This window comes from Homo sapiens, chromosome 7 (genome assembly GCF_000001405.40).
Source record: "Homo sapiens chromosome 7, GRCh38.p14 Primary Assembly".
Taxonomy (NCBI): Eukaryota; Metazoa; Chordata; class Mammalia; order Primates; family Hominidae; genus Homo; species Homo sapiens.
This window is the reverse complement of record NC_000007.14, coordinates 92030505-92056630: the sequence shown is the minus strand read 5'-3', so window position 1 is coordinate 92056630 and position 26126 is coordinate 92030505. Positions and strand designations below refer to the sequence as shown.

The following is a 26126-nucleotide window of genomic DNA, read 5'->3' as shown; positions in this document are numbered from 1 at the left end:
AAGTCTGGACTAGGCAATAAAAATTTTTTGTTTATTAGGGTTTCTTATGCAACCCTCCAGTTAGTCTGTGAAGGTGTCTTAACAAAGCACGTTCACAGATTAACTGGAGGGTTGCATAAGAAACCCTAATAAACACCTATACAAGATAGAGGCCTAATCTTATCACTGCTGCAGCTAAATGTGACTTTAGTGGGGCTTTGGCAGATAGAAGTTGTCAATATCCCAGATGCTCAGCTTTATGAACTGTGGGGACCCATGCTTAGCCTATCAAATACCTCTTAAAACACTCTTTCCCTGCTCCCTCTGCAAACTACAGTTTGTTTTGATAATCTGATATCTAGTTTCTCTTATTTGAAGCAAAAACAAAATCTGTAAGTAAGAAACAACCCTTTATAAACAGTTAACATTTCGGTCAGGATAAGAACTAACTACAAAGATAAGAGAGAAAAATTACTGAGAAAAATGGACTCAAAAAAGTAACAGATAAAGATGATTCAGAATAGGGCAAACAGCCCTCATAACAGTATATTAACTGATGGAGTATTATATTAAATATTAATTCATGTTCAGAAAGATGACCATGAATTAAAATAACTGAAATTATTGTCTATTGTTTCACCCATTTTTGGAAGCATGTAAAACTTGCTTCCATCCATGTAAAACAAAAATCTGTAGGTAAGTAGTTATATTAGGAACACAGGTCAAGGTAAGAAGCTTACACAAAGAAAATAAAGTAAAATTAGGGCAAAAAAGACTCAAAAGAGCAGTATTAAATAAAGATGATTCAGGATAGTGGCATACAGCCCTTGTAACAACAGTAATATTAACTGATGATATATTAATTGATGTTCAGAAAGGTGACTGAATTAGAATAATTCAAATTATATTCTATCTTGCTTCCCCCTCTATTTTAGAAAGCACATAAAACTTCTTGCAATCAAAAATAGTTATAATAAAATGACTTAGAAGAACACACTTTTAATTATCCAGACTAGCTTATTATCGCCAGGTTTCAGATAATCAAGATTTTAATGTATATTTGAAGGCTATTAATTTGCAGCATAGAGTTGTTTCCTAAACAAAATAGCTTTACTTAAATCAAATAATGTCAAACCATTTAACTACCTTTCTTCATAAATTATTTCTTCAAACTGTAAAACACTTTTGTTGCTCTCTTTTGGACTTTGATTTGTTCATCTATTTCTTGAAGTTATTTCACAGAGGGCCTATAACCTGCAAACATTACCCTGACGGAGCCTAGACCAATGCTAAGCATACTGGGGACAATACTTGAAGGCAAAATGTGTTTCAGTATTTTGATTGCAGTTATGTTTCAAACACAACAATGACAAAACAAAATCTTAACTTATACTACTGCTTCATCCTCAGATTCCTTTTTTTGAGAAAATATAGAAGCATGTAGCTTTGATGCTGTAATTCTTAAAAACAAGTATTAGGAAGCCCGTAAAAATTTCTTACAGTAAAAATAATTCCATGGGAATAAATTACATATTCATTAATTTATTCCAAGGCCTAGCAGAATCTCTTGGTAAATAACCTCCTATGGCTCTAAATAATACTTCTGGATTCTGGAAAACTTTAATTGCTGAAAAACTACTCCCAAAGAAGAGAATGGTTTTGATTTCTACCTGATCCAGGAGTTTAGAATCTGTGAAACCACACTCTCAAAGATAACATTTCTGCAGAACCACAAAGAGACTACTGAATAAGGATTGTGTTAAAGAGATTACCTCTCTAAGGGCCTTATGACAGTCTCTTAAGCATTCTTTTTCATACTATCATGAAAGCTACCCCAACCAGTAGGAACCTAACAATAAAGTGAATATAGGCCTGATTGTATGGTAGCCTGTCCAAGCAAAAGAGAGGTAAAACCGTTGTAATAAATGTACTATAATATGGACTTGGACATACCACTGGGCAAGTTACCCCTCAAATCAAATATCTAAAGTAAATAACTCCTATAATACAGGTTATGAAATCACCCAATCAGCCTATAAGGCAGATACTTGTCCAGTGCCCTGATATTCAAAAATTTTGCCAGTGAATAACTCATCTTAAACATCTTAAGCATCAACTCCCAAGTAAACTTTACTTGGTCCCCACCACACTCTAACATGTCAGATGTTGCTCTCTTCTCTGGTCTCAGAGTATCCTGTACAAAGCTATTTTCCTGAATTTCTCTTTCACTGAAAACGCAAAGATATTACAGCATGCCTCCCAGCTGTTTTACATTTTGTTATAATACGTGAAAAAAAAAATGAAGGTTAAAGGGAAGTATACTATTATAAAGTAGAACCAAATAATGACACATTGAAGAGGAAAGTGGAATATAAGTTATTTCACAAAGATATTACACATTATTCTGTGTCAATCTGTTAAAAATATTCATCAGGTTCAAGATAATTTTAGTTATTAATCAATGAGACTATTCTGAAGAAATCAATGGCTTTAAACATCTATCCATGGAAGATTAAAAACTGAGCTGAAATTCATTTAAAAGAAAGTTTTTAAAAACGCCTACTCCCAATGCTGAAAAATATTATTCACTTAAGAAATACTTCATTTTTATAACTTTTTATACCTAATGCCAACAACTAGTTTAACATTTTATATAAAAGATGTTAGTAGAGTGCTTCAAAATTAAGCCAGAGAACAATGTGAACATTGTACTAATAATCCACAGATTAGTGGTTCTCAAACTTTAGTGTGAATCAGAATCATATAAAGGACTTATTAAAAACACAGGTTGCTGGGCCCTCAGTTTCAGTAGGTCTGGGGTGGGGCCTAAGAATTTATATATTGAACACATCACCAGGTGATGCTGATATTGCTGGTTAGGGGCTGCACTTTGAGAAGTCTCTGCCATAGGGTTACTGCTCTACACAAAGCTTTTGTGATCCATTCAGTGATATTTAAATTACCACAATACAGAAGAAGCTAAATAACACAGCGTGGAGTTAGTATTCAACAAATTGGGAAAAATCTGGAAAATGCCATGGTCAGACTCCTACTATACTTCACTACCTGGTCACATAAGCAGACAGCTGCTATGAGCTGTGGTCTTGGCCTGGGGAAATGAATGTTTCAGGAGGAGCCCACATGCTTGACTGTTGGCAGCATTAACAAATTTTGGAGAAGTTTCTCTCTAGTAGCCTGTTAAGAACAAGTAGCCTATTGGAACCACTGACCACTTCTGATTTATTTAACATTTTTCACGTTGCTTATCAAAAGACAAATACTATGTTGCATTAACTAAACTGCTTATAATTTACAATGGTATCAAGTAGTAGCAACAGCATTAACACTGGCTGAGATCCAGGTCAAAAGTACTTAATAGCGGTTAAGAAACAAAAAGTATTAACAGTTGTTTTCATATATGAAAGTACAAATCACAAAAATTAAATACTAATATACCTGAAATAAGCAAAAACCAAAACAAAACAAAAGCAGGATCATGTAGGAATTCAGTATAGAATCATTTATACTATACAACTTTCATACAACCAAAGGGATAATTAAGATGCATATGCATTCAAGCTTTGAAAATGCCAAACAGCTATCCATGAAAATATCAAAATTAGCTCAGTCGAGAGAGTGGGATAGTATATTGTACTTCAAACTCAGTACATATTAGCAATATAAGGAGGTTACCTGACTGCTAGTTTCACTTATGGCTTCTAGGAGTTTTTCAACTGCTGCTTGTAGTCGAGAGCTAATGTTCAGCATAAGTTCTTCATTTTCAGGGTCTATTTCAGTTCCAGCAAAACCACTCCTCACAAGTCGTTGTGACAGCTCTGTTCCTTCCTCAGTTACTTTTGACCACATGTTAATGTCATTTCTTGGCATATCACTTCCAGAATAAGAGGGAATGGATTCATCTGTAACTAGAATAACAGTGTTTTAAAGGCATAAATTAATTATAATAATCATAATTTTTTAAAGTTATAAAACAACATCAAACTAAACTGGAAATCATGGAAATTGTAAGGTCTTTTAAAACAATATTGCAACCAAACAAATAAAATATGCAAATATAGGATATAATATTATTCAATAACCAAGCAAAAGAATGAGAAATGTTATGCTAATAGGAATTTGCAGAAATTGATCATGTGGGTAATTCAGTATTTTTTTCTTTGATAAAAACTTCTAAGATACCTTTCAACAGAAATTTACTACATGTCCACTATGTGGAGTTTGCTAAGTAATAGGGACATATAGGTGACAAGATCTGGCTCCAACCCTTGACGACTTTACAATGTAATGAGGAAACACATAAACAATCACAAGAAAAGAAAGGCATTGTGGAGTAGGCCATTTCAAATTGTACAGAGGGATAGAAATAAGTGCTTGGATTTTTCGGGAGCAGACTGACTTTTGAGCCTACATTGGGAGTACAGGATAGAAATAAGTGCTTGAATTTATCTGGTGATGACTAACTTTTGATCCAACACTGGGCAATATCATCTGCTTTGGCTACACAGTAAAAGGAACTGAGATCATTTTGTTGCTTGCTACTGTTTTAAGAGGAATACTGGGATAAGATTAGACTGATGAGCAGGTCTAATTTAACTTTGGACATTGTTATCCACATTACCCACACTATTCTTATTTCTTATGTTAAAAAAAAATGAGTTTGCATGGGTAGAAGATAAGCTTTCCAAGTATTTTCTCTAAGCTATAATAAAAGCATAGGCTATTCACCACTGCCATTAAATACTCCTTTGTGGCAGATGTTACAACTCAACAGTGAAGTTTCCTGAAGAGGCATTACCTATTCTTTTATTACATGTAGTACATATTTGTTATCAGTAACTGTACAAAGTTAACCAATTAAAGCAGAGGAAATCTTCATGTACCAAGTGCTTGGAATAAGCATTCAGTTTGACACATTCACTCAAAATAAGAGCTACTTATTAGAACTTGTCTTGCTAAAGTAGCTGGTGCCACATTTTCTTAATCTATGTAGTAATGACATCAGATACAGCTTCAGACGCAAGACCTGAATTCAGCACAATTCAATATTCACTAAGCATGTCCTCTTTGTAAGTCACTGGCTGTAGAGCCCAAAATTGCATTTTAAGGCATGATTTTAAATGTTTCCCATTATATACAGGTTTATCTAATTCTTAAGGTAACAGTAAATACAACTTTCACTTTGTATCCTTATTCTCCAAAGTAAAAAACACATCAGCTACACTGGTACTTATTTATATTACTCCATGTGCTCAAAATTGAATGCCTTGAAAACATTTAGAAGTGCAAGATAATCTTGGAATTTACAGCATCTTTATGTGAGAAATTAAATGCATTCTAGTAACATTTTCTTTCTCATGGGTACAGAAATGTGACGCAAAGGGAACAGTGTGATACGATGGGAACTCTAGGCTTTTTAGGGCAAAGGGACATGGAGAAATAGTGGTGAGGTAGGTGAGAGAGCTAAAAGAAGGTAGCTGGAAAGTAAGCTGGATTCAAGTTGTAAATGGTCTTAAATTTTATAGGAACCTTAGGGGTTTTGCTATAAACAAATGGAAAGAGTAAATCATATTTTGAATAAGAAGATAATATCAAATATGTGCATCAGGAAGCAAATTGTAGCAATGCAGAGGTAAGTTAAAGGAGAAAAAATTGAGAAAGCACAGGTTGGAGAAGACAATGTAGAAGAAGACAAGGAAAGAAGATATGCGTAAGATGACTCTGGGCTTCCAGCTTAGATGATTCTTAGGTGACAGAGAAATCATTAAGAAAAATACTAAAAAATCAGGAAAAAGTATACAGAGTAGGGATGAAAAATGATTAGTCTGAAGTGTTAATGGGATTTGTGAAGATGAGTCAACTGTTGGAATTTTGGGTCTGCAATGACTTAGGAGTCATTTGTAGAAAGGTGAGAGTTGAAACCTTGGAAGTAGATACATTTGTCCTAGGAGTAATACTCAGTGAGAGAAGGAAGACAAAGTTGAAGTCTCTGTATATCATAATCTAACAAAAGAACCTGTGTTAAAAAATATCAGAGAGAGGCAGGAGAGAGATGTTCCAACAGACAAAAAGAGACGGCTTCAAGACACTTTAGTAATGTTATTTGTCTAGAAAGACAAACAAGACAACGACTGGGAAGATGCTATGGAGACTCCTGTGTTTACCAGCCTTGATTTCTATTCCTGCAGTACCAAAGCTGCTCTCTCAGAGGACAACACTGACCTCCCAGTTGTCAAATCAGCTGGGCACGGTGGCTCATGCCTGTAATCCCAGCACTTTGGGAGGCCGAGGCAGGTGGATCACGAGGTCAGGAGTTCAAGACCAGCCTGGCTAATATGGTGAAACTCCATCTCTACTAAAAAATACAAAAATACAAAAAAAAAAATTACAAAAATACAAAAATTAGCTGGCCATGGTGGCACGTGCCTGTAGTTCCAGCTACTTGGGAGGCTGAGGCAGGAGGATCACTGGAATCCAGGAGGTGGAGGTTGCAGTGAGCCAAGATTGCACTACTGCACTCCCGCCTGGGCGATAGAGCAAAACTCCGTCTCAAAAAAAAAAAAAAAAAAAGTTTGCTGAAATTTACCTTGAGCAGGGAACAAAGGTGAGAAAATTCAACACTTCTTAAATTTTTAAGGCAGTATGAAGACAGTCTAATGTTTTGGGCTATAGAGAAGGAATCAACATGAGGAAAAGATTGAAGGTATGGTGTATTAGATGGGAGCAAATCTCAAGCACAAAATAAAGAGGGTGCGTGAAAGTGACTTATAAAAGGCCTCTGGCTTTTTTAAGCCAAATGGCTAATTTTTAAAAATAGACATTAAAGTACCTAGAAAAGGCAAAGACGTCACCTAGCTTAAGGTATTTTCTTAATAACATTTTGAAAGTATAAACAATCTGAAATAATCTGAATATGTTCCAAGAAAAAACCAAATTTAAAAAAATCCTATAAAATAGAAATATGAGAAAGACATCAAGCTTAAACTTTATTTATTTATTTATTTTATTATTATTATTTTTTTTGAGATGGAGTCTCACTCTGTCGCCCAGGCTGGAGTGCAGTAGCTGGATCTCCGCTCACTGAAAGCTCCGCCTCCGGGGTTCACGTCATTCTCTTGCCTTAGCCTCCCAAGTAGCTGGGACTACAGGCGCCCACCACCACGCCTGGCTAATTTTTTGTATTTTTAGTAGAGATGGGGTTTCACCATGTTAGCCAGGACGGTCTCGATCTCCTGACCGTGTGATCCACCCACCTCAGCCTCCCAAAGTGCTGCGATTACAGGTGTGAGCCACTGTGCCTGGCCCTAAACTTTATTTTTAATAACCAGTCTTGGAGGGAAAAATTCAGAGGATAATATAGATTAGCAGGGGAACTTCACAAGATGCCAATAATAATCTTAGAACATCCAGTTTGGTAAATAGAATCATTTCAAATTGGTGAACCTCTTGGATTTATGTCTTAAAACATAGTAAATGATGGTTATTCAAGTCCTTTAGTTATTAACTTTATGGATTATATCATGTTCATTCCCTGACAGGTAACGATAAACTCCTCAGGTTTAAGTGGGATAGGCAATGTGATAAAGCCTTCTCTGCCCCAAAGGCTCTCTGAATCTCTAATGGCTCCAATGGAAACCACTAGGCTTTAGTCTGACCCTGGATCTGACAGTTGAGAAAACTGTACTGAAGCCCTGGGAGACTTAAGAGGTTTGCCCAATATCACAATGAACTAGAAAAAAAGAAAACAAGGCCTTCTGATTAGTGCAGTGGTGTGATCTCGGCTCACTGCAACCTCCACCTCCTGGGTTCAAGCATTCTCTTGCTTCAGCCTCACGAATAGCTGGGATTACAGGTATGTGCCGCCACACCTGGCTAATTTTCATATTTTTAGTAGAGACGGGGTTTCACCATGTTGGCCAGGCTGGTCTTGAACTCCTGACTTCAGGTGATCTGCCCGCCTTGGCCTCCCAAAGTGTTGGGATTACAGGCATGAGCCATGACTCTCAGCCCCTAGCATTCCTTCTATAAGACAGCATTTCTCCAAAAGGAGGCAGCAGCAGACAAGATTCCATCCCTGGCCTCCTATGGGAGAGGTGAGCATAAAACCACTGAATCATCACAGTGAAGACCTAAAGGAAATTTTTTTTTCAACACAACCTGGGGAATTCATTTTTATGAACTGATCTAATATTCATTCAGGTTTAAGTGATTTTATGTTAGCTCAAAATTTCCCTTCAATTTCATAAACTAGGTTACTCTTATGAGGAAGCAAATATTAGCAACTTTATTCTTTACTTTTTGAGTGTTAACAAGTCCATACATGTTTAAAATCGAAACAAGTTCAGACCTGAAGGCTGAAAACACATCAGAAGTGTTACAACAAAAAGTCATATATGAAAACTGAAAAGCAAAAGTTGCTTCGCAATTAGACTGGTTTAATTTTTTTGTTATACTAAAAAACATAAAACTGTCAAAAGTTTTTCATTTTTAAAAATAATGCTCCCATTATATTTATGAAGGAATGTCAGAAAAAATTCTTACATATGGAACACAGTGTTAATATTTTAAAGCCAGTATTTTCTTTCAGGTTTATATAAAAATTAAAAATTTTAAATTATAAATTCTATTAACTCAATATATCCTTAAAGATGCAAGATGGATCCATTAACTGTCCCCCAGTAATATTAGTGGTTGCTCCAATTTTATTAGTAAGATGATCACACTGCTGCTAAACATAAAAACAGTAAGATGGAGTTAACTAAATGGAAAGTAAATGTAACCAATGATACTAATCCTAGCAAAATTATCTCTGCTACAATATTCTATACACTATATTTCTTAACTGTGGATTTAGCTTTTTCTCTTATCTCAATATTATTCTTTCAGAATCGGTCAACAGTTAAATAACTAAAATTTTAAAGGTTTTAGTTGATTCAAATATACGTAGTGGTTTTAGGCAAAATATTAAATATTATGACTCTATTTTGCTTTGAATCAGAATAGCAATGACTTCTTCATTAGACTATGAATTGCTGTAAAGCTGAGAGCATAGAGAAATAGCTCAGTAAATGTCTGCAGAATTAAACTCATAAAATTGCTTATAATTGAAAACTATGGTCAGTCGCAGTGGCTCACGCCTGTAATTCTAGCACTTTGGGAGGCCGAGGTTGGTGGATCACTTGAGGTCAGGAGTTCGAAACCAGCCTGGCTAACATAGTGAAACCCTGTCTCTACTAAAAATACAAAAATATTAGCCAGGCATGGTGGCAGGCACCTGTAATCCCAGCTACTTGGGAGGCTGCAGCAGGAGAATGGCTTGAACCCAGGAGGTGGAGGTTGCAGTAAGCAGAGATTGCGCCACTGCTCTCCAGCCTAGGTGACAGAGCGAGACTCAAAAGGAAAAAAAAAAGGAAAGAAAACCATTACTGTATCTTAAAATAGGATATACATATTTCATGTGTGTTGGAAGATTTAGATACACTTATGCAAGAAAATAGGCTAGTGGATCAGAAGTCTTTTTAGGTCTGCTTTCTCATGGAAAATGAACATAAATATAATCCTCTGTGCTTGAGTTAAATTATCCATTTATTCCCTTTTATGGAGACAGTGCTCTGGAAGTAAGTTCACTGTCTTTCAAGGTATGTTGTCTGCTGAATACTTTGGCAGCCATGTTGAGAAGTATCTAAGAGAACTGCTAACAACAACAACAAAAGCACAAAATACATCTGTAATGCACAGAACATTCTCAGAGTCTCTTCTGAATATGGCAGTCAACCTGGTCTAGGTCTTACCAGCAGAACAGCAAAATCCCTCCCTAAATGGTTAAGTGAAACAAGCTTGTGAAATAATTGTTTTTTAAAAAGCATAATTTGATAAACACTTTTATCAGACCAAGAAAATGTTACCTAATTCTTCTCTATAAAGATCCATATGCAGAAATAAAATAGCCGTGACTGAGAGCTTAACCAAGAGTGAAGTTAATTTGAAAAATCCTTCCACCAAGTTTGAAAAGAGTGAATTTGAAAGCAAGGTTTAAAATTCAGTATTATTTCAGCTCTTAATTTACTAAAAACAATTTTTAAAACTATCTTTGAACTCAGCTAAGGTGTTTAAAAATCAGTTTTATTTGCAATTCCAAATCAAGCTTTTCTCTGTACCTAGAAACACACTACTGGCCAACTTATAATTAGGCAAACCTTCCATAAATGGGATAATTTCTTTTCATTTCTCCACATGAAATTTAACAAACAGAATTCTCTCAAAAATTACAAAAACTGGCATTTTAGGTCTGCCTCTATGGGAGAAGTGCTTGAGTGTGGAATGGTAGTGAACTGTGGGCTTGATCTTGTGAGCCAGGAGTCCACATCCTATGTTTCTCCATCTCACAAAACTTTTCCCCTCTTTTGATTTCCTCATTTCCCTCTCCTACAAGGAAAAAGAAATTGAAAAAACAAGAGACAATGGAGTTCAGCAATGTGATGGGAAGAAATAGAAAGAAGAGGCCGGGCATGGTGGCTCACGCCTGTAATCCTAGCACTTTGGGAGGCCAAACCAGGGAGATCACCTGAGGTCAGGAATTCAAGACCAGCCTGGCTAACAGGGTAAAATCCTGTCTCTACTAAAAATACAAAAATTAGCTGGGCATGGTGGCATGCACCTGTAGTCCCAGCTAGTTGAGAGGCTGAGGCAGGAGAATTGCTTGAACCCGGGAGACAGAGGTTGCAGTGAGCCCAGACTGCGCCACTGCACTCCAGCCTGGGCGACAGAGCAAGACTCTGTCTCAAAAAAAAAAAAAAAAAAAAAGAAACGGAAAGAAGAGCTGAATCCACACAGCTGAAGGAAGACAGAGTTACGAAGACAGCTCTGGCATATCAGGACCTAATCTCTGGATCCATACACATTGTGTAATATTTCAACTCACTTTTTCAAAAGGAAGAAAGAATCTAGCAAAGGACAGTCCAAAGGTAACACCAAATCTTGGGTTTCTTATCAAGACTTTCTTCTAACCATTTCAACAGGTACATGAAGCTGGTGCTGGGTTCCTAAAAAGTCTTTATTTCTAATCTTTCCTTAATCTATAGGATGGTTTCAGGATGTCATCCATACCTCACAGATACTGGTAAGAGTACTAAGTGCTGATATATAAATTTTCTTTTATCGGTGGAGAAATGTAACAGCATTCTGGTTTATGTAGGCACTGTGGCAACCCTGGGTAAATATAATGACAACTCTATGATACCCACTTGCAAATGCTATACAATAATGGTGTTTGAAAAGAGTTGCTCTAATGTATTTCTGTTTGAAGGTCCATTTGCTGGAAAATACTTATTTTCTCTTCTATATTTTCAACACATGGCAAAATGCCTTGAACTCAGCAGATTTGTTGAAATGATTGTTTCCACAACACAGAAAACTAGTACCTCTTGTATGTTCCTCATGGACACATGACTTTACAGATGCCTCTGCTTCTGACCTCCAAATTAGGCTGGCAGATGACTGGCTTTTACTAGATCTATCTAGAATCCCAAGGACATGGCGACCAATTGTTTCTTCAACAGCTGCTGTTGTCTTTACAACTTCTAAGAGGATCTTCAAAAGTCTATTATTAGCTTTCTGGAGTGCATACCTGTATAGATAAAGAAGCACTGATTAAAATGTTTAATATTTTTGAAGCAAACACTTTGCTTATGTCCACTAAAAAGTACACTGCAAAATATTTGATTTGAAAAATAACAGATGATCCTTTTTATTAAAATACCCAATAGCATCTACAATAAAGTGCTTCTTGTTTTTTATTTGTAACTATATTATAAAATGATTTGTTTTTGTCTGAAAAATTTTGGCCAATTAGCTTAATCATACCATTTTTTAAAATGTACGGTATTTAATTGACTTGAAAAAAATAACTAAAGTCTTAAGCCAGTAACTAGGTTAAGAGAAAATCTTGGGAGACAAAATTTAAGTTTTAAAAAGTATGGTAGTGCCAAAGCATATGCAAGTTATTGAGCTTGCTGCCCATGGTTATACATATGTATTTTGCACATTTAAATCTTTCTATATGTTAAACATAAAAACATATTTTGAAACATAATTTTAAAATCACACCAGAAAAAATTATGTGGTAGTATTTGTACAAGTTAATGGTAATGAGCTGAATGTTTAAATTACAAAAAGTAATAGTTAGGCAGCGATGTGTTTTTAAAAAGGTCTGTAATGAAATTTCACTATCTGTCAACACCACAGAGAGTATCATAGGCCGTTTTTATTACATCTGCTCCAGGGACAGAAATTTCTCAAGTTACACTCACCACACTCATTTAAGTCGGCAGAAGAAACCTGTTTTCAACTAGAATGAATTTGGTGTGTCTCTCTTTTTAAAAAGTAATCCTTATTTTAAAAAATTTGGAAAATACTGCTAACCACTCACCAAAAAACCTCAGCAATCACTATTACAATTTTAATGCCTGTATTTCTAGACTTTTCCTCCTGCCTCTCTTATAAATATATACGTATTTTAAAAACAAAAATGAGATCATCCCGAACAAAGTGTTTTTGTACACTCTCTTTTTTGCTTAACATGAACATTCTACCATGCAAAGAAAGCTACTTCCATAAATGGTGATTCAGAAGACTGCCTGATTAATTTTCTTAAAAACTAAACAACTCTCTTGTCCTAGCAACTCAGTTCAACAAAGGCACACTTTATACATGCAGACAAAATAAAAGATTTTCATGGTAAAGGTCTTCTGCCTTAAGACAGTTTTATCTTTTAGCTTCACACTGTAGGAGCTTGCCAAAAATCAGGCTAAAGGATACCTGTTTCACAGGCACATGACATATCTATTTTAAGACAAGATAATAAATGGAGAAGTTTTCCGTTAGTATTTGTCAAGTGAAAGAGACGGTTCTATTTTTGCACCTAGATCAAGTTCTCTGCTTATATAATCAAGAATACTAAAAATAAAACTAAACTAATTTAGTAGGAAGCCAAGGGTTTTATTTCCTTAACTTGTTCTGAGGTTTTGTTTAAGCCCCAAACCCCAGAACTAGAATAATGTGAAAATATTTCTACTTAAGAGAAATGATTAAAATTAATATGGTGGTTAAAAAAAAATACTCATTTTATTGGCACTTACTATAAAAATTCCTAGAAATTAAATACTGCATAGTTTTCAAAATTTACCAATTAGAGATAAATAATATAAAATAAACAAAGTGTTTATTTTATATTGCCGTGGTAACTCTAATTTTCATACACTGTCTTTCTTGTTTGAGTTCCATACTGACTGCGTTCCATACTGATGATCCAATGGGGAAGCCAAAATCTTAGGGGCCAAATTCCTCCATGCAAGCTGAGGAAGGAGGTTAGGAGGACACAAGAGGGTTGACAGTCACAGAAATTGGAAAAGGAGGAAATTAAGAAGTAAATATTAGTTTTAATTTAAAATTAAAGAAATTATTTTCATTTGAACAAAACAAAGTTTAAAATATTGTGCTTAAAGTCTTTAATACTAATGTAGGATAACTATTCTCACTTAATATTTCACATTTTTATATTAACCTCTACAAAATCAAAGTAAGGAAAAGTTTTGCTAACATCAGGTGATTAACAGTTAAGTATGTGATTAATATCCAATCAAAATTTATATAGAAAAGATTTTTTTAAAATGTTATCTATTTAATGATGAAAAACTGAAAATCCTTTACATACTACACATACATGGACATGTTTCATACACAGATGGTATGATGATTTTTAAGACAAAGTATCAATGTACAAGATAAAAATAAGGACAAAGTCTATTACATTGAAACAACCATTTTAATTTACTTTGCACTGAAAAAGTACACATTTTGTATACCTTTCATTAGACAAAATCTCAGGAGGCACATCTTCAGGTTTTCTGTCTAATTCCTTTTCTTTAAATGTTTGTTCTTCAACTTCTCCTTGGTTTTCATTTCCATTCTGTTTAAGTTTGTGTAAAGGAAGAGAGGAGAAGACAGAAAGAAAACCTGTCAACTTGGAAACAGCATGTCATTCTTCTATATTGGTATGAGATAAAATAGAAACCTCTGTGCACAAAATTGATACTGGTTGGTATAATATTTAACTACACTCGAGATTAGTGTTATCAAAAGAGGATAAAACATTCTCGTACACAAATAAAAAATTTTAATGGGTTCAAATTATCCATGCTGTAGTGCAACAATAAAGTTTGTTAGGTTCTCTTTGGTGAAACAATACTTGCTGTTAACAGAATGTCAGATTCAAATTACCTTAAATGAAATGTAAGGCATTTTGACTCCACCTACCTTACACACATGCAGTCACAAATATGTTAAGCTCAGTACCTATAAAAGAATACATCTCATACCAACAACAAAGACAAACAAATCCTACTGAATTGGTGATCCATTGCTCCTAGGTGGGGCAAAGTCCATACTACCTGTGTTTGCGTACTGCTGTTGCGCAGCTCACAACACAGCTTCTCTCTTCCAGCTAAAGACAGCTGCTTTAGTGCTTCCAGCTCCTCTAAAAGCACCCTCTCTCTCTCTGAAACCAGGTTTTCATTATCTATGGAGGATCTCTAAATAAGAAAAAAGGTCATGAAAGAATACTGTTTGTGATAGAGAAAAAGGGTAGAAATATTAAGCAGATTTCTTTTAACCCCCGGGACCAACAGGCCCTGGTTCTACTTATGATTCATATTCCATCGTAAGGGGTTAAAAGTATATACAAAGATCAATGCAAAATTTAAAATATTTTTTAAAAGCCAATTAAGTCTATATATTCAGGAATTTGTGCAGTTCAATTAATTTTTGTCAATTTTGCATTGAAAATTAAGAAGTTTGAATTCACAAAATGCAATGAAGAAAAGCAAAGTTAATTTTTCCAAATAATGTTTTATGCTCAGCTCCCAATTATCTTATTATTTTATGTTTGAAAGAATACTGTTAATAGTTATCTCTAGATATTTATTATCTCTCTTAGCTTCAGTTTTCAAAATTAAATTCAATAAGTTTTCATAAGAACTTCTACATAAATATTTCTTGCTTTTCTGCAATGGTTTTGTGAGTATATTTTATACAGCAGTTGACAAGAATCCAGCTCCCAAATACCAAGAAGTATTTAAATTTAGTCAAGAAAGGGATAAGAATGTTAAATAAATTTGCATTTCTCAAATCAAGAAGAGATGTTTCCCTGGAAAGAGTTTCAGAAGCATACTACTTCCGATTTCCATTCATGATTAAAAAGATGGATTAAAGACAGATAAAGGTAAACCTTCGAGATGCTAATTGGTGGACTCACAAAACTATAAATGAAGATAGTAAAACTGAATGATAGTAACTGCATAATGGAGCACCTCAGCACAATGTTATTTCCAAAATGTCAAAGTGAGTTTGCTATATATGGCTAATGGAATGATTTAAAAGAAAAAAACAAAACCGTGTAGCCACTTTTCCAGTGCTTGAAAAAGGAGTTAAATAAAATGACAGAAAGACAATGCCCACTCCAAGGTTGAGATAGGTGTCCCTAACAAGATCTAAAGCTGCTGTCTTAGTATAGAGTGTGTTCCTGATGCTAAATATATGTAGTTTATTCAGATTTCGGCAAAAAAAAAAAAAAATTATGGCTACATAAAAAATACTGTTGTTTTAATTGGGGATCTGGTTCAAGTTGGTGTTTGGAAAAAAAAATAACTGGGGAGAGAAAGGGGACTACAAGACCCTTACCTGGGCTAATTGTCTATTAAGTCTCTTAATCTCTTCTTGTAGCTGTTCCTGGTCTTCTCGCTGTCTCTCCATTTGCCGCATATGTGCTTGCCTTAACAATTCCGTTGCCTGTTGATGTTCTTGGTATTGTCGTACAAGTTCCTGTCTCATATCTTCCAACTGTTCTTCATTCAACATTAGTTGTCTAGAAGCATCCATGCTTGACACTGAAATCTCATCATGAATCTTTAATAGTAAAAAAAAAAAAAAAAACAATTCAACCATAACACATTTTGTAAAAATCTGTCAGCATTAATATTGTAAACAAATACGAAAGCAATTCTATTCCTTATCCCATAAAGCATGTGATATTTTATTATTAAACAAAAACATAATTTTTAAAATGGTGTTTTTCTTAATTACAACTCTAAAACAACATAAAGCTACTTTATCATTATTTTCCAAAAGCAAAACAGCTATTTATCAATTAGTTTAGACTTAATCTAATTCTAATAGAAAAAAAAGAACTAAGATACTTAAGATTCCTTCTACTCTTAACGAAGCTATAATGCCATTATTCCTCTTGACATTTTATGAAGGGAAAATAATATCCATGGAATATTTATATTTTAAAATTAAATGTATGAAACATGAGAAACTACCCATTTAATTTACACAGTGGTTATCACAGTACTACAGAGAACTACTGATAAAAAATAATTTTCAATACATTTTATTTGAAGATAAAAGCTTTACATTCCAGAGTCTCACACTCATAAGAAGTCAACTCCTTAATATGTTCTACGAGTACATCATTTCCTGGAGGAATGTTACTTATACAAATAATTTTGCTTTGAACAGTTGCTGGTAAATTAAAGAGGTCTTGAAGAACACCTAACAAGTTTTGCATTCCATAAAGAGTTGGCAATTTTATTTTATTTATTTTTGAGAGGGAGTCTTGGTGTCACCCAGGCTGGAGTGCAGTGGCACCACCTTGGCTCACTGCAACCTTCATCTCCCCAGTTCAAGTGATTCCTCTGCCTCAGCCTCCCAAGTAGCTGGGATTACAGGCATGTACTGCCATGCCCAGCTAATTTTTGTATTTTTAGTAGAGAGGGGGTTTTACCATGTTGGCTAAGCTGGTCTCGAACTCCTGACCTCAAGTGATCCACCTGCCTCGGCCTCCCAAAGTGCTGGGATTACAGGCATGAGCCACCACACTCGGCCTGGAGTTGGCAATTTTACTTGAATATTAGTCTGAACAAAACATAACCTATCCTGAATATTAATAAAAAATTTTAATTCAGATAATGTTAAAAGAAGTAGGATTTATTACTTTCTGTTAAAGGCAGTGAACAGTTGAGGTACAGACACAGAATGGATCTTCTATTAATAAATAAGTACATAAATCAAGAATTAGGATATAGATAGTAAAATCTTTTAGTCTTCCTAAATAGGTAGCTATTTCCTTCTAATGTTGTTATATTTAATTAAGCAAATCTTTTATTCACAGATATTACCAAATTGTAGTATAATTAATCTTGAATTGGTTGAAACAGAATTAATGTACGTACAACTTACAATGGGATTTTACCAGGTACAACATCTTTAAGATAAACAAGAATACTATGAACCAGACTTGTTTTATTTGATACTAATATTAAGTCACTTATCCATATATCTTACAATTAATAAAACACATTAACAGTGTGAACTGGCTGGGCACGGTGGCTCATGCCTGTAATCCCAGCACTTTGGGAGGCTGAGGAGGGTAGATCACAAGGTCAAGAGATCGAGACCATCCTGTCCAACATGGTAAAATCCTGTCTCTACTAAAAATACAAAAATTAGCTGGATGTGGTGGCACGCGCATGGAGTCCCAGTTACTCAGGAGGCTGAGGCAGGAGAATCGCCTGAACCTGGGAGATGGAGGTTGCAGTGAGCCGAGATCATGCCACTGCACTCCACCCTGGCGACAGAGTGAGACTCAGCCTCAAAAACAAAACAAAACAAAACAACGTGAGTCATAAGACTGAATTTGATATTTTCCTCCTCCAAACATTAAGCAGCACTATTGCTAATATTTTTAAAGTGAAAGAATTCACAATTTTTAAATAAGTTTTTTATATTCAAGGAGGCATACTTACAGACTGTCTAACTATAAATGTTTTATCTTTGGAGAACATTTCTTCTGAAATAGTCAGCACACAGTCCTTTGATTCTGGTATATCATGGGGATCACTATTTGATAATAAAATTTCCTTTCCATGTTCTCCTAACTCTTTACTAAGTGGTTTAAATTCTTCTTTAAATTTCACATCCACTGTCTCAAAAGTCTGAAAACCAATTTGATCCTGTGATAATTTCATTTCATTAAAATAATGTTGTTCTTGCTGACACACAGCATGTGCTTGCTTTGATGATGCAGTATTTTCTTTTCCCCCAGATATTCTAGACAGTTCAGTTTGTTGAGCAAATGCTATACTCATTGACACAATAACCTAAAGAAATAAAAGCAAACAATAAAGGATTAGATTTAGAAATATCAGCAGGAATTTAAAAAGTAAATTAGTACTCAAAATTGTATAAACAGAAAAAAGCATGGCCTCACGGTTCTAAACAAAAAGAAATCCTATAATAAAGTAATACCGAGATGGATTCTCTTTTTACAATAAATCTAATGTCAAAGTATTTATTTTACTGCCTGCCACTTTAAATAAAAAGTAAAATGTTTTCTTATTATAACAGACATAAATGTTCAGTAAAAATTAGAAAATAAAAGCCCTTATATTTCTCTCTTCCAAGAAAAATCAATGTAAACATTTTAGTGAATACTTTCCCAAATCTTCTTATTCTTCTTTGCAGAGATAGATATGAATAGATACAGATATAATTTTCCTATAAAAACGTGATCATATTCTAATACTGTAACCAGTTTTTGTAGCTTAACTATAGTAAATACCTCTTCAAGTTAAGAAATAGAAATACATTTCTATGTAATTTCCAATGGGTTCAAAGTTTCATATTACATAGATGTAGTATAAGTTTATTAAATCAATTCTCTATATTGGACATTTAGAGTGATTCCAGTCTTTTACTATTTTAAACACCAGTGTGATGAAATATTTGTAATTATATAATTGTGCATATCTTTTCTTATTTCCTCAAAACAAATTCCCAGAAGCGGAACACTTAGTTTGTATGACTGGTAAATATGAGTAGACATTTCATTATAATCCAATTTGACCTTTCACTACAACTATGATCCTGAATCCCTGCTTATTCTAGCCTCCCATCCCACCCCAGCACAGGTACTTAGGAATTCTGACTAGCAGTTTTGGCTCTGACAAGTCCCTACACCTTTGAGAACCAACCGTATCAATAACTTTAAGTCCTTTTTCCATAGATAATTTATAATGAAAGAAGGCTGGCTGTAATAAACCCAGAATAAAGTATGCCTGGGATTAGAAATATTTGTATTTACTGATCTGCAGCATTATTTTCCTTGCTGGTCCAGGTCATATAACTGAACTTTAGTTTTAATTTCCTGTCCTGAATGTGATTCACCTATCTGGGGTCCTGATTCCCACCTGGTTCCTGTGCTAGCCTCCTTTGGAGTAATTTGACTCAAAAACACAAAGCAAATAAATCATTGAAGCTGGGGTTCAAAATCCTATAATCTTGCCTAAGCTCACTTTCTAAAAGGTAACATTATACTATTCCACAACTAAATGAATCTGTCTAGAAGTATAATGCTAAAACTGACTTGAGGAATAATTATAATACCAGTAGCCAATGCAGAGAAAATTCAAGTGCTGCAACATTAGGAACCACATCAAAGGTCACATATTTAATAAATATTACGGCAGAAATTTGAATCAAAATGTGTCTATACAGAGCTCAAGCACCTTAAACATTATATGCCATTCTGTTTCTTCCCAGATAATCCTGGTACCATATCTCACCTACCAAATTGGACCTCTGGGTGCCTATGCTAGCTCAGAAAGAACCAGGGTTTGGTAACAACGATGTCATCTGGAACATATACCCATTACGGCAAAATGTCAAAAGACAAAGATAATTAAAAATAATTAACCATAGAATACAACTTAACAAAACATATTTTTAACCTTCTGTAACTAGTGATCAAAACCTTATGACTGAGTTTTGCTTTAATTTCCTGTCTTGAACCTGATCTGCCTCTGTCTCTTCATACTGAATATATTAAGAATGTAACATGGAACAAAAGGATTAAAAATATGAAAGAGAAGAACAGAGATATGAAGGATAGAGAATGGTCAACCAACATCTAATTAGAGTTCCAGGAGGATATAATAGAGAACAATGGAAAGGAACTATTTCACGAGATAATGGCTGAGAATATTTACAGAAGATACCACTGCCAAGATTCAAGATGATCAATGAATTATAATAAAAACAAATACCTCATCTCTACAAAAACATTTGTAGCTGGGTGTGGTGAGCTACTCCAGGGACTGAGGTGAGAGGATTGTGTGAGCTCAGGAGTGCAAGGCTACAGTGAGCTATGATCACACCACTGCACTCCAGCCTGGCTGACAGACCCATCTCTTAAAATAAAAAAAATTAAAAAAAAAGGAGAAAAGAGAACACCAAAATCAAAAAGAAGATCTTAAATGTTGCTAAAGAAAAAAGACGTATTACCTACGAGGGAACAACAAAGTGACAAGGACCTTGTCGACAGAAACAAGAAATCAGAAAACACTGGAATGTTACCTTCAAAGTTCTGGCATAAAAATAACTGCTAACCAGGTTCAAACAGTAAACAAAACAAACTTTTATGGATAAAAACACAATAAAGACATAAAATAAAGACAACTAAAAAACATAGTTTACTCCCAATAGATAATCAGTTAAAAAAAAAAAAACTTCTAAAGAATTTTCTTCAAAAAGAAATAAGATTCTAAAAGGATGGCCTAAGATGCAAAAAGGATTAGAGCGTAAACATCCTTTTTAAAAAAAAAATGTGGGTAAATTGAAATACTGATGCTATAAGGCAATAATTGCATCTGAATTGTGGAATAAGAAAACACAAAGACTGTGCTTCCAGGCAACATAAAATAAGCCCACTACAGCCTGCTTCTCCCACTGATTACCTAAAAACTCTGAGCACAATACAAAACAACTAAAGAATTCTGAAGAGTAAACAATGGCTAGGAGACTGCAGAGGGAAGTCAAAACTTAGGTGATTTGTATGGGAAAGAAGAAACAGGATTTTTAGTCTGAACCTAACTGGGTGGACTGCCTATTTTTTTAAAAAATTCACATTCTTCAAAGAATTATAATGACATCCAGAGCATACAAAACACAAAACATTTAATATACAATTCAAAATTAGACAACATAAAATTCGTTGTATGTTGAACTCATTGTCAGCATACCTGTTCTAAAAGAAATGCTAAAGGAAGGTTTTTAGGCTAAAGAAAAATGGCACCAGAGGGAAATCTGAAATTTAAATAACAGCAAAACACATACTCTTTTCAAGTACACATGGAGCTTTCACCCAGAAAAGACCATATTTTGGGCATCAAATTTAAAAGAACTGAAATTATATGAGGTATTTTGCCAGACCACAAAGAAACTTAAAAATTAATTAAGTTAACCATGGGAAGCTATCTGAAAATCATAAAAATGTGGAAATCAGTACATTTCTAAATAACCCATGAATCAAAGAGGAAGTCACGGGGGAAATAATATATTTGGATTGAATGAAAATTTGCAGAATGCAGCTTTAAACATTGCTTACGAGGAAGCATTGCTATACTTACAAGCTATAATGTTTAAAGCTGTAACGCTATGCTTTCGAGTATAGCATTAAATGCATACATTAGAAAAGAAATTCCTTTTAGAAAAGCAGAAGAAGAGCAAATTAAGTCCAAAGCACGCAGAAAAAGGATATCAAAAAGATATGGGTAGCAATTGAAAATAAAAACAAAAACAATAAAAACAACAATGAAACAAAAAGCTGAATCCTTAATATTATCAATACAATCAATAAACCTCTAGCCAATCTGACAAAAAGGTGAGAAATAGGGATAACACTACAGATGCCACAGACATTAAATGATAAAAGAATACTACAGGCAGGGCATGGTGGCTAACACCTGTAATCCCAGTACTTTGGGAGGCCGAGGTGGGTGGATCACTTGAGGTCAGGAGTTACAGCCAACATGATGAAACCCCATCTCTACTAAAAAAAAAAACCCACAAAAATTAGCTGGGTGTGGTGGTGCGTGCCTGCAATCCCAGCTACTTGAGAGGCTGAGGCAGGAGAATCACTTGAATCCAGAGGCAGAGGTTGCAGTGAGCTGAGATTGTGCCACTGCACTCCAGCCTGGCGACAAGAGTGAAACTCCATCTCAAAAAAAAAAAAAAAAAAAAATATATATATATATATATAGATATATACACTACAATACAACTCTACCTATATAAATTCACCGGAAGTGTGAGCCCTTGCTGTCTTTCCCTGATTTCTTCCTCCTGTATCCAGTTACATCTGCAGAAAAGACAAATCTGTGCCAGGATTTCACAATATTTCACCATGAATATGGGAGTTGCAGGATTAAACTGAATTGTCCTCCAACTCACCAGAGGTAGCAGCTGGGCAAGCAGCCTCCACAAACTCTAGTCAAGTCTCCTGACCGTGTCTTAAAGACACCTGTTAGAGTAATTTTTGACCTTTCTTTTTCTCTTGCTCTCTTGACTTTCCCTTTCATATTTCTTTAAAAGGTCCTCAACCTGATATCTTCCTGATTCACTCCCTCACTTCCTTTAGGATTTTCCTCTAATGTCACTTCATAAGTCAGGCCTTCCATGACAACCCTATATAAAATAACACCATCTCACTCCCCATGGATTTTCCTAGTCCTGCTTTTTTTCTTCATAGTACTTATCATCATCTGTATGTTGTCTATCTGTACCAACTGGAATGTAAGGTCTATGGAAACAAAGATTTCATCCTCTTTTATTCTCTGTTATACTTCAGCACCCAGAACATTGCTTAACAGTGAAATGTAAATGAATGTCTACTTTCAGTAGTATGTGCTCAAATCACAGGAGGACTCTAATATGATATATACTGGAAATCACTACTATTGGGCTTCTTCTATATAGCCTTGTGCTTTTAGAAAAATGATTCTCAGCCAGGCATGGTGGCTCACGCCTGCTATTCCAGCACTTTGGTAGGCCAAGGTGAGTAGATTGCTTGAGATCAGGAGTTCAAGACCAGCCTGGCCAACATGGCAAAACCCTGTCTCTACAAAAAAATTAGCTGGGGTGGTGGTGCACACCTGTAGTACCAGCTACTTGGGAGGCTCAGGTGGGAGGATGGCTTGAGCCCAGGAGTTGGAGGTTGCGGTGAGCAGAGATTGCGCCACTGTACTCCAGCCTGGGCGACAGAGCCAGACCCTGTCTCAAAAAAAAAAAAAAAAAAAAAGAAAAGAAAAGAAAAGAAAAATGGCTCTCAGTCTTCTTCTATCATATCTGAGGGGTACAGAGTACAGCATAATCCCATCGGTACTGGTGACTAATATCAACAATCTATATTATTCTAGGACCAAGCTGGGCCATCAAACATAATCTCTTGGACCACAGTATCTTGGCTGCATTTAGAAGAGTCTTTTTTTTTTAAATACTTTAAGTTTTAGGGTACATGTGCACAACGTGCAGGTCTGTTACATCACTGACCAGTACTTTGGTGCTCTGCTATCAGCTTGAGTGAGTAATGCTTTATAAAACATCATCATGTTACCACCATTATCACAGTAATGACTACTTTTAAAATAGTATTTATGAGTCTTTACTATGTATCAACTCATTTGCTAAGTGTTCTATATGCATTAGCTCATTGAATCCTTATAAAAATTGCTACTAAGCCAATTTCCTCTTTCAACATATAAAACGCTGAGATTCACAAGTTAAGTAACTTTCCTAAGGTCACAAATCTAGTAAACCAAAAGAACAAGAATTTAAAGGATGGTATATCCAATACCAAACCTCATGTTAATTACTATACCCTGATACACCATTCCATTTGATAAATTTGTGTAAGAGCTACATGCAAGAGAAAATTTGCATTCCTCCAAGAACTAGACATTGAAAGCTATAAAAAAAAAATGATAGTGTTTCACTTTTCACTTTAGGCATAAGTGAATAAGTCCTTATGGCCCAGATATTTCCTTAGGTCTTGACTTCCTCATCGAATTTATGTTTTTCCTAATTCCTTATATATTTCCTTTATATCCTACCAATCAATCCTAACCCTTTAAAATGCACATATTCCATTGGGATTGTTATATTAAGACAGCTGAAATATTATACAAAAAAAGCAAACTCATAATTCAATAGTTCATATATACATATATCTTTTTTTTTTTTTTTTTGAGACGGAGTTTCGCTTTTGTTGGCCAAGCTGGAGTACAATGGTGCGATCTCAGCTCACCACAACCTCTGCCTCCCGGGTTCAAGCAATTCTCCTGCCTCAGCCTCCTGAACAGCTGGGATTACAGACATGCGTCACCACGCCCGGCTAATTTTGTATTTTTAGTAGAGCCAGGGTTTCTCCACGTTGGTCAAGCTGGTCTCAAACTCCTGACCTCAGGTGACCTGCCCGCCTCGGCCTCCCAAAGCGGTGGGATTACAGGCGTGAGCCACTGCACCCGGCCAGTTCCAATATTAAAAGCCAATCAGGTATACACGTTTTGAAAAGGAATACAAAGACAAAACAAATGGAACCATAATGTTACACTAGGGTATATGGCTAATATTAAAGAATGACTCTGGACACAGTGGATAAGCATACAGAGATGAGCAAAACTCACATTGATAAACTCCTTCACTTAGCCAGGAGCTAATTAATACTCAGTGATAATCCTCCCTTAGTATCTGTAGTCATTACCTAACAAAACTTCTCTGATTGGAAATAGATACAGATAATATATACAGAGGACCAACCACTTTCTCTTTCTTTTCCTATCTTCTTCCCAACTTTTAAGGAAGACCAAACTTCTTCACAAGGCAACAAATACATAGACTTGTTTTGGCATTCTGAAAAGCTTCTAATTACTAGTCTACATCAAGAACAATGCTCTTCTCAAATAAAAATTCACAAGATATTTTGTTTAAAGGCAACTATAATTGATATTATCCAATCACTTAAAGATGAACTATATATGAAACTTATAAAGTACATACCATCGATAAAATCTATGTTCTTTTTGAAGGCTCAAAGGGAATATAAACCAAGATAATCTTCCAGATAAGCTATAAGCCTACCTTAGCTACTTCTTCTTCTAATTGTTCTTGGTATTGTTTTTCAAGCAACTTAACGATATTTGTTTCCTCTTTCACTCCAAATTCACCAGAAAACTACATTTAAAAGCAAAATATGACATTTATTTACATTAATTATACACCACTTATTTTTAAACTTCTACCTCAAAATCTCCCCAAAGTATCAGTATTTTTAGAAAAGTTCTACATACTTTCAGCAAAAAATAAATTTTAATTCTCTCAATTAAAAATAATTCTAGTAAATAATTCTACCAAATAATTATACTCACTACCGTGAACTTAAAGATGCAAAGAGAAATATGTTTACATATTTATAAATGCCAACATACAGTTCTAGAGTGGGAAAAGGATACTTAAATATAACTAATAAAATATATATGTGTGTACAGATTTCCTTTTAAGTAAAATGTTAAACAGTGGCTATCTTTGCTCATAAACTTACAAGCAAATTTTGTTTTCTTCTTGGTATTTATTAATACTATCTAACTTTCTACAAATACAAATTACTTTTATCAATAGAAAAAACCATAAACTTTTAAAAAACATAAATATGTTCTCAGTATGAAAGTATTTCTTTATTTACCAATCATCATGACATGGGATGAGTATAGCAGAATCAAGGATGTGTCTAACATCTTTCCTCTGTATACTGAGCGAGGAAGAACGATGATCTTACTTTTTTCTAAGACTTAAGAGCTAAAAATCTACTGAGTGAAGACCAGGGTTTGGCAGTTGCCAGTTTGAGAAAGTTGCAGGTGTGAGAAATTTAGAATAATACAATGTTGAGCAGAGGCAGGGGGTGGTTTAGTTAGATGGCATGCACTTTAAAAGATGTGGAACTTTTTTATATACCATACGGACCTTATTGGAATAGGCCTAATTCTATTATCCCAGCCCTATTGTCTTGGATTCTGGGGATTCCTAAACCCTTTTTTTTTTTTTTTTTGGCGACAGTCTTGTTCTGTCGCCCAGGCTGGAGTGCAGTGGTGCAATCGCAGCTCACTGCAACCTCTGCCTCCCAGGTTCAAGCGACTCTCCTGCCTCAGCCTCCTGAGCAGCTGGGACTACAGGCGAGTGCCACC

At 35.0% G+C, this 26126-nt stretch overlaps 1 protein-coding gene across 2 annotated transcripts in view, besides 2 other annotated features; it reads right to left on the bottom strand.

Annotated features, from left to right (window-relative positions):
* The window catches only part of AKAP9 (A-kinase anchoring protein 9), a 169812-nt gene that overhangs the window by 54043 nt on the left and 89643 nt on the right, over window positions 1-26126 (bottom strand). For both annotated transcript variants that reach the window (NM_005751.5, NM_147185.3), the window contains exons 16-22: window positions 25027-25119; window positions 17859-18212; window positions 15733-15957; window positions 14445-14585; window positions 13860-13963; window positions 11418-11623; window positions 3673-3905 (exon numbers count right to left, since the gene is read on the bottom strand). In NM_005751.5, the coding sequence (NP_005742.4) occupies window positions 3673-3905; window positions 11418-11623; window positions 13860-13963; window positions 14445-14585; window positions 15733-15957; window positions 17859-18212; window positions 25027-25119 (1356 nt within the window). The remainder of the gene's footprint in view (window positions 1-3672; window positions 3906-11417; window positions 11624-13859; window positions 13964-14444; window positions 14586-15732; window positions 15958-17858; window positions 18213-25026; window positions 25120-26126) is intronic.
* Window positions 14302-14596: an enhancer, noted in NCBI's record as "tiled region #2641; HepG2 Activating DNase matched - State 5:Enh". NCBI's record gives its function as "activates a minimal TATA promoter and a strong SV40 promoter by Sharpr-MPRA in HepG2 cells {active_cell/tissue: HepG2}" and the evidence as "EXISTENCE:reporter gene assay evidence [ECO:0000049][PMID:27701403]".
* Window positions 14302-14596: a silencer, noted in NCBI's record as "tiled region #2641; K562 Repressive DNase unmatched - State 15:Elon". NCBI's record gives its function as "weakly represses a minimal TATA promoter and a strong SV40 promoter by Sharpr-MPRA in K562 cells {active_cell/tissue: K562}" and the evidence as "EXISTENCE:reporter gene assay evidence [ECO:0000049][PMID:27701403]".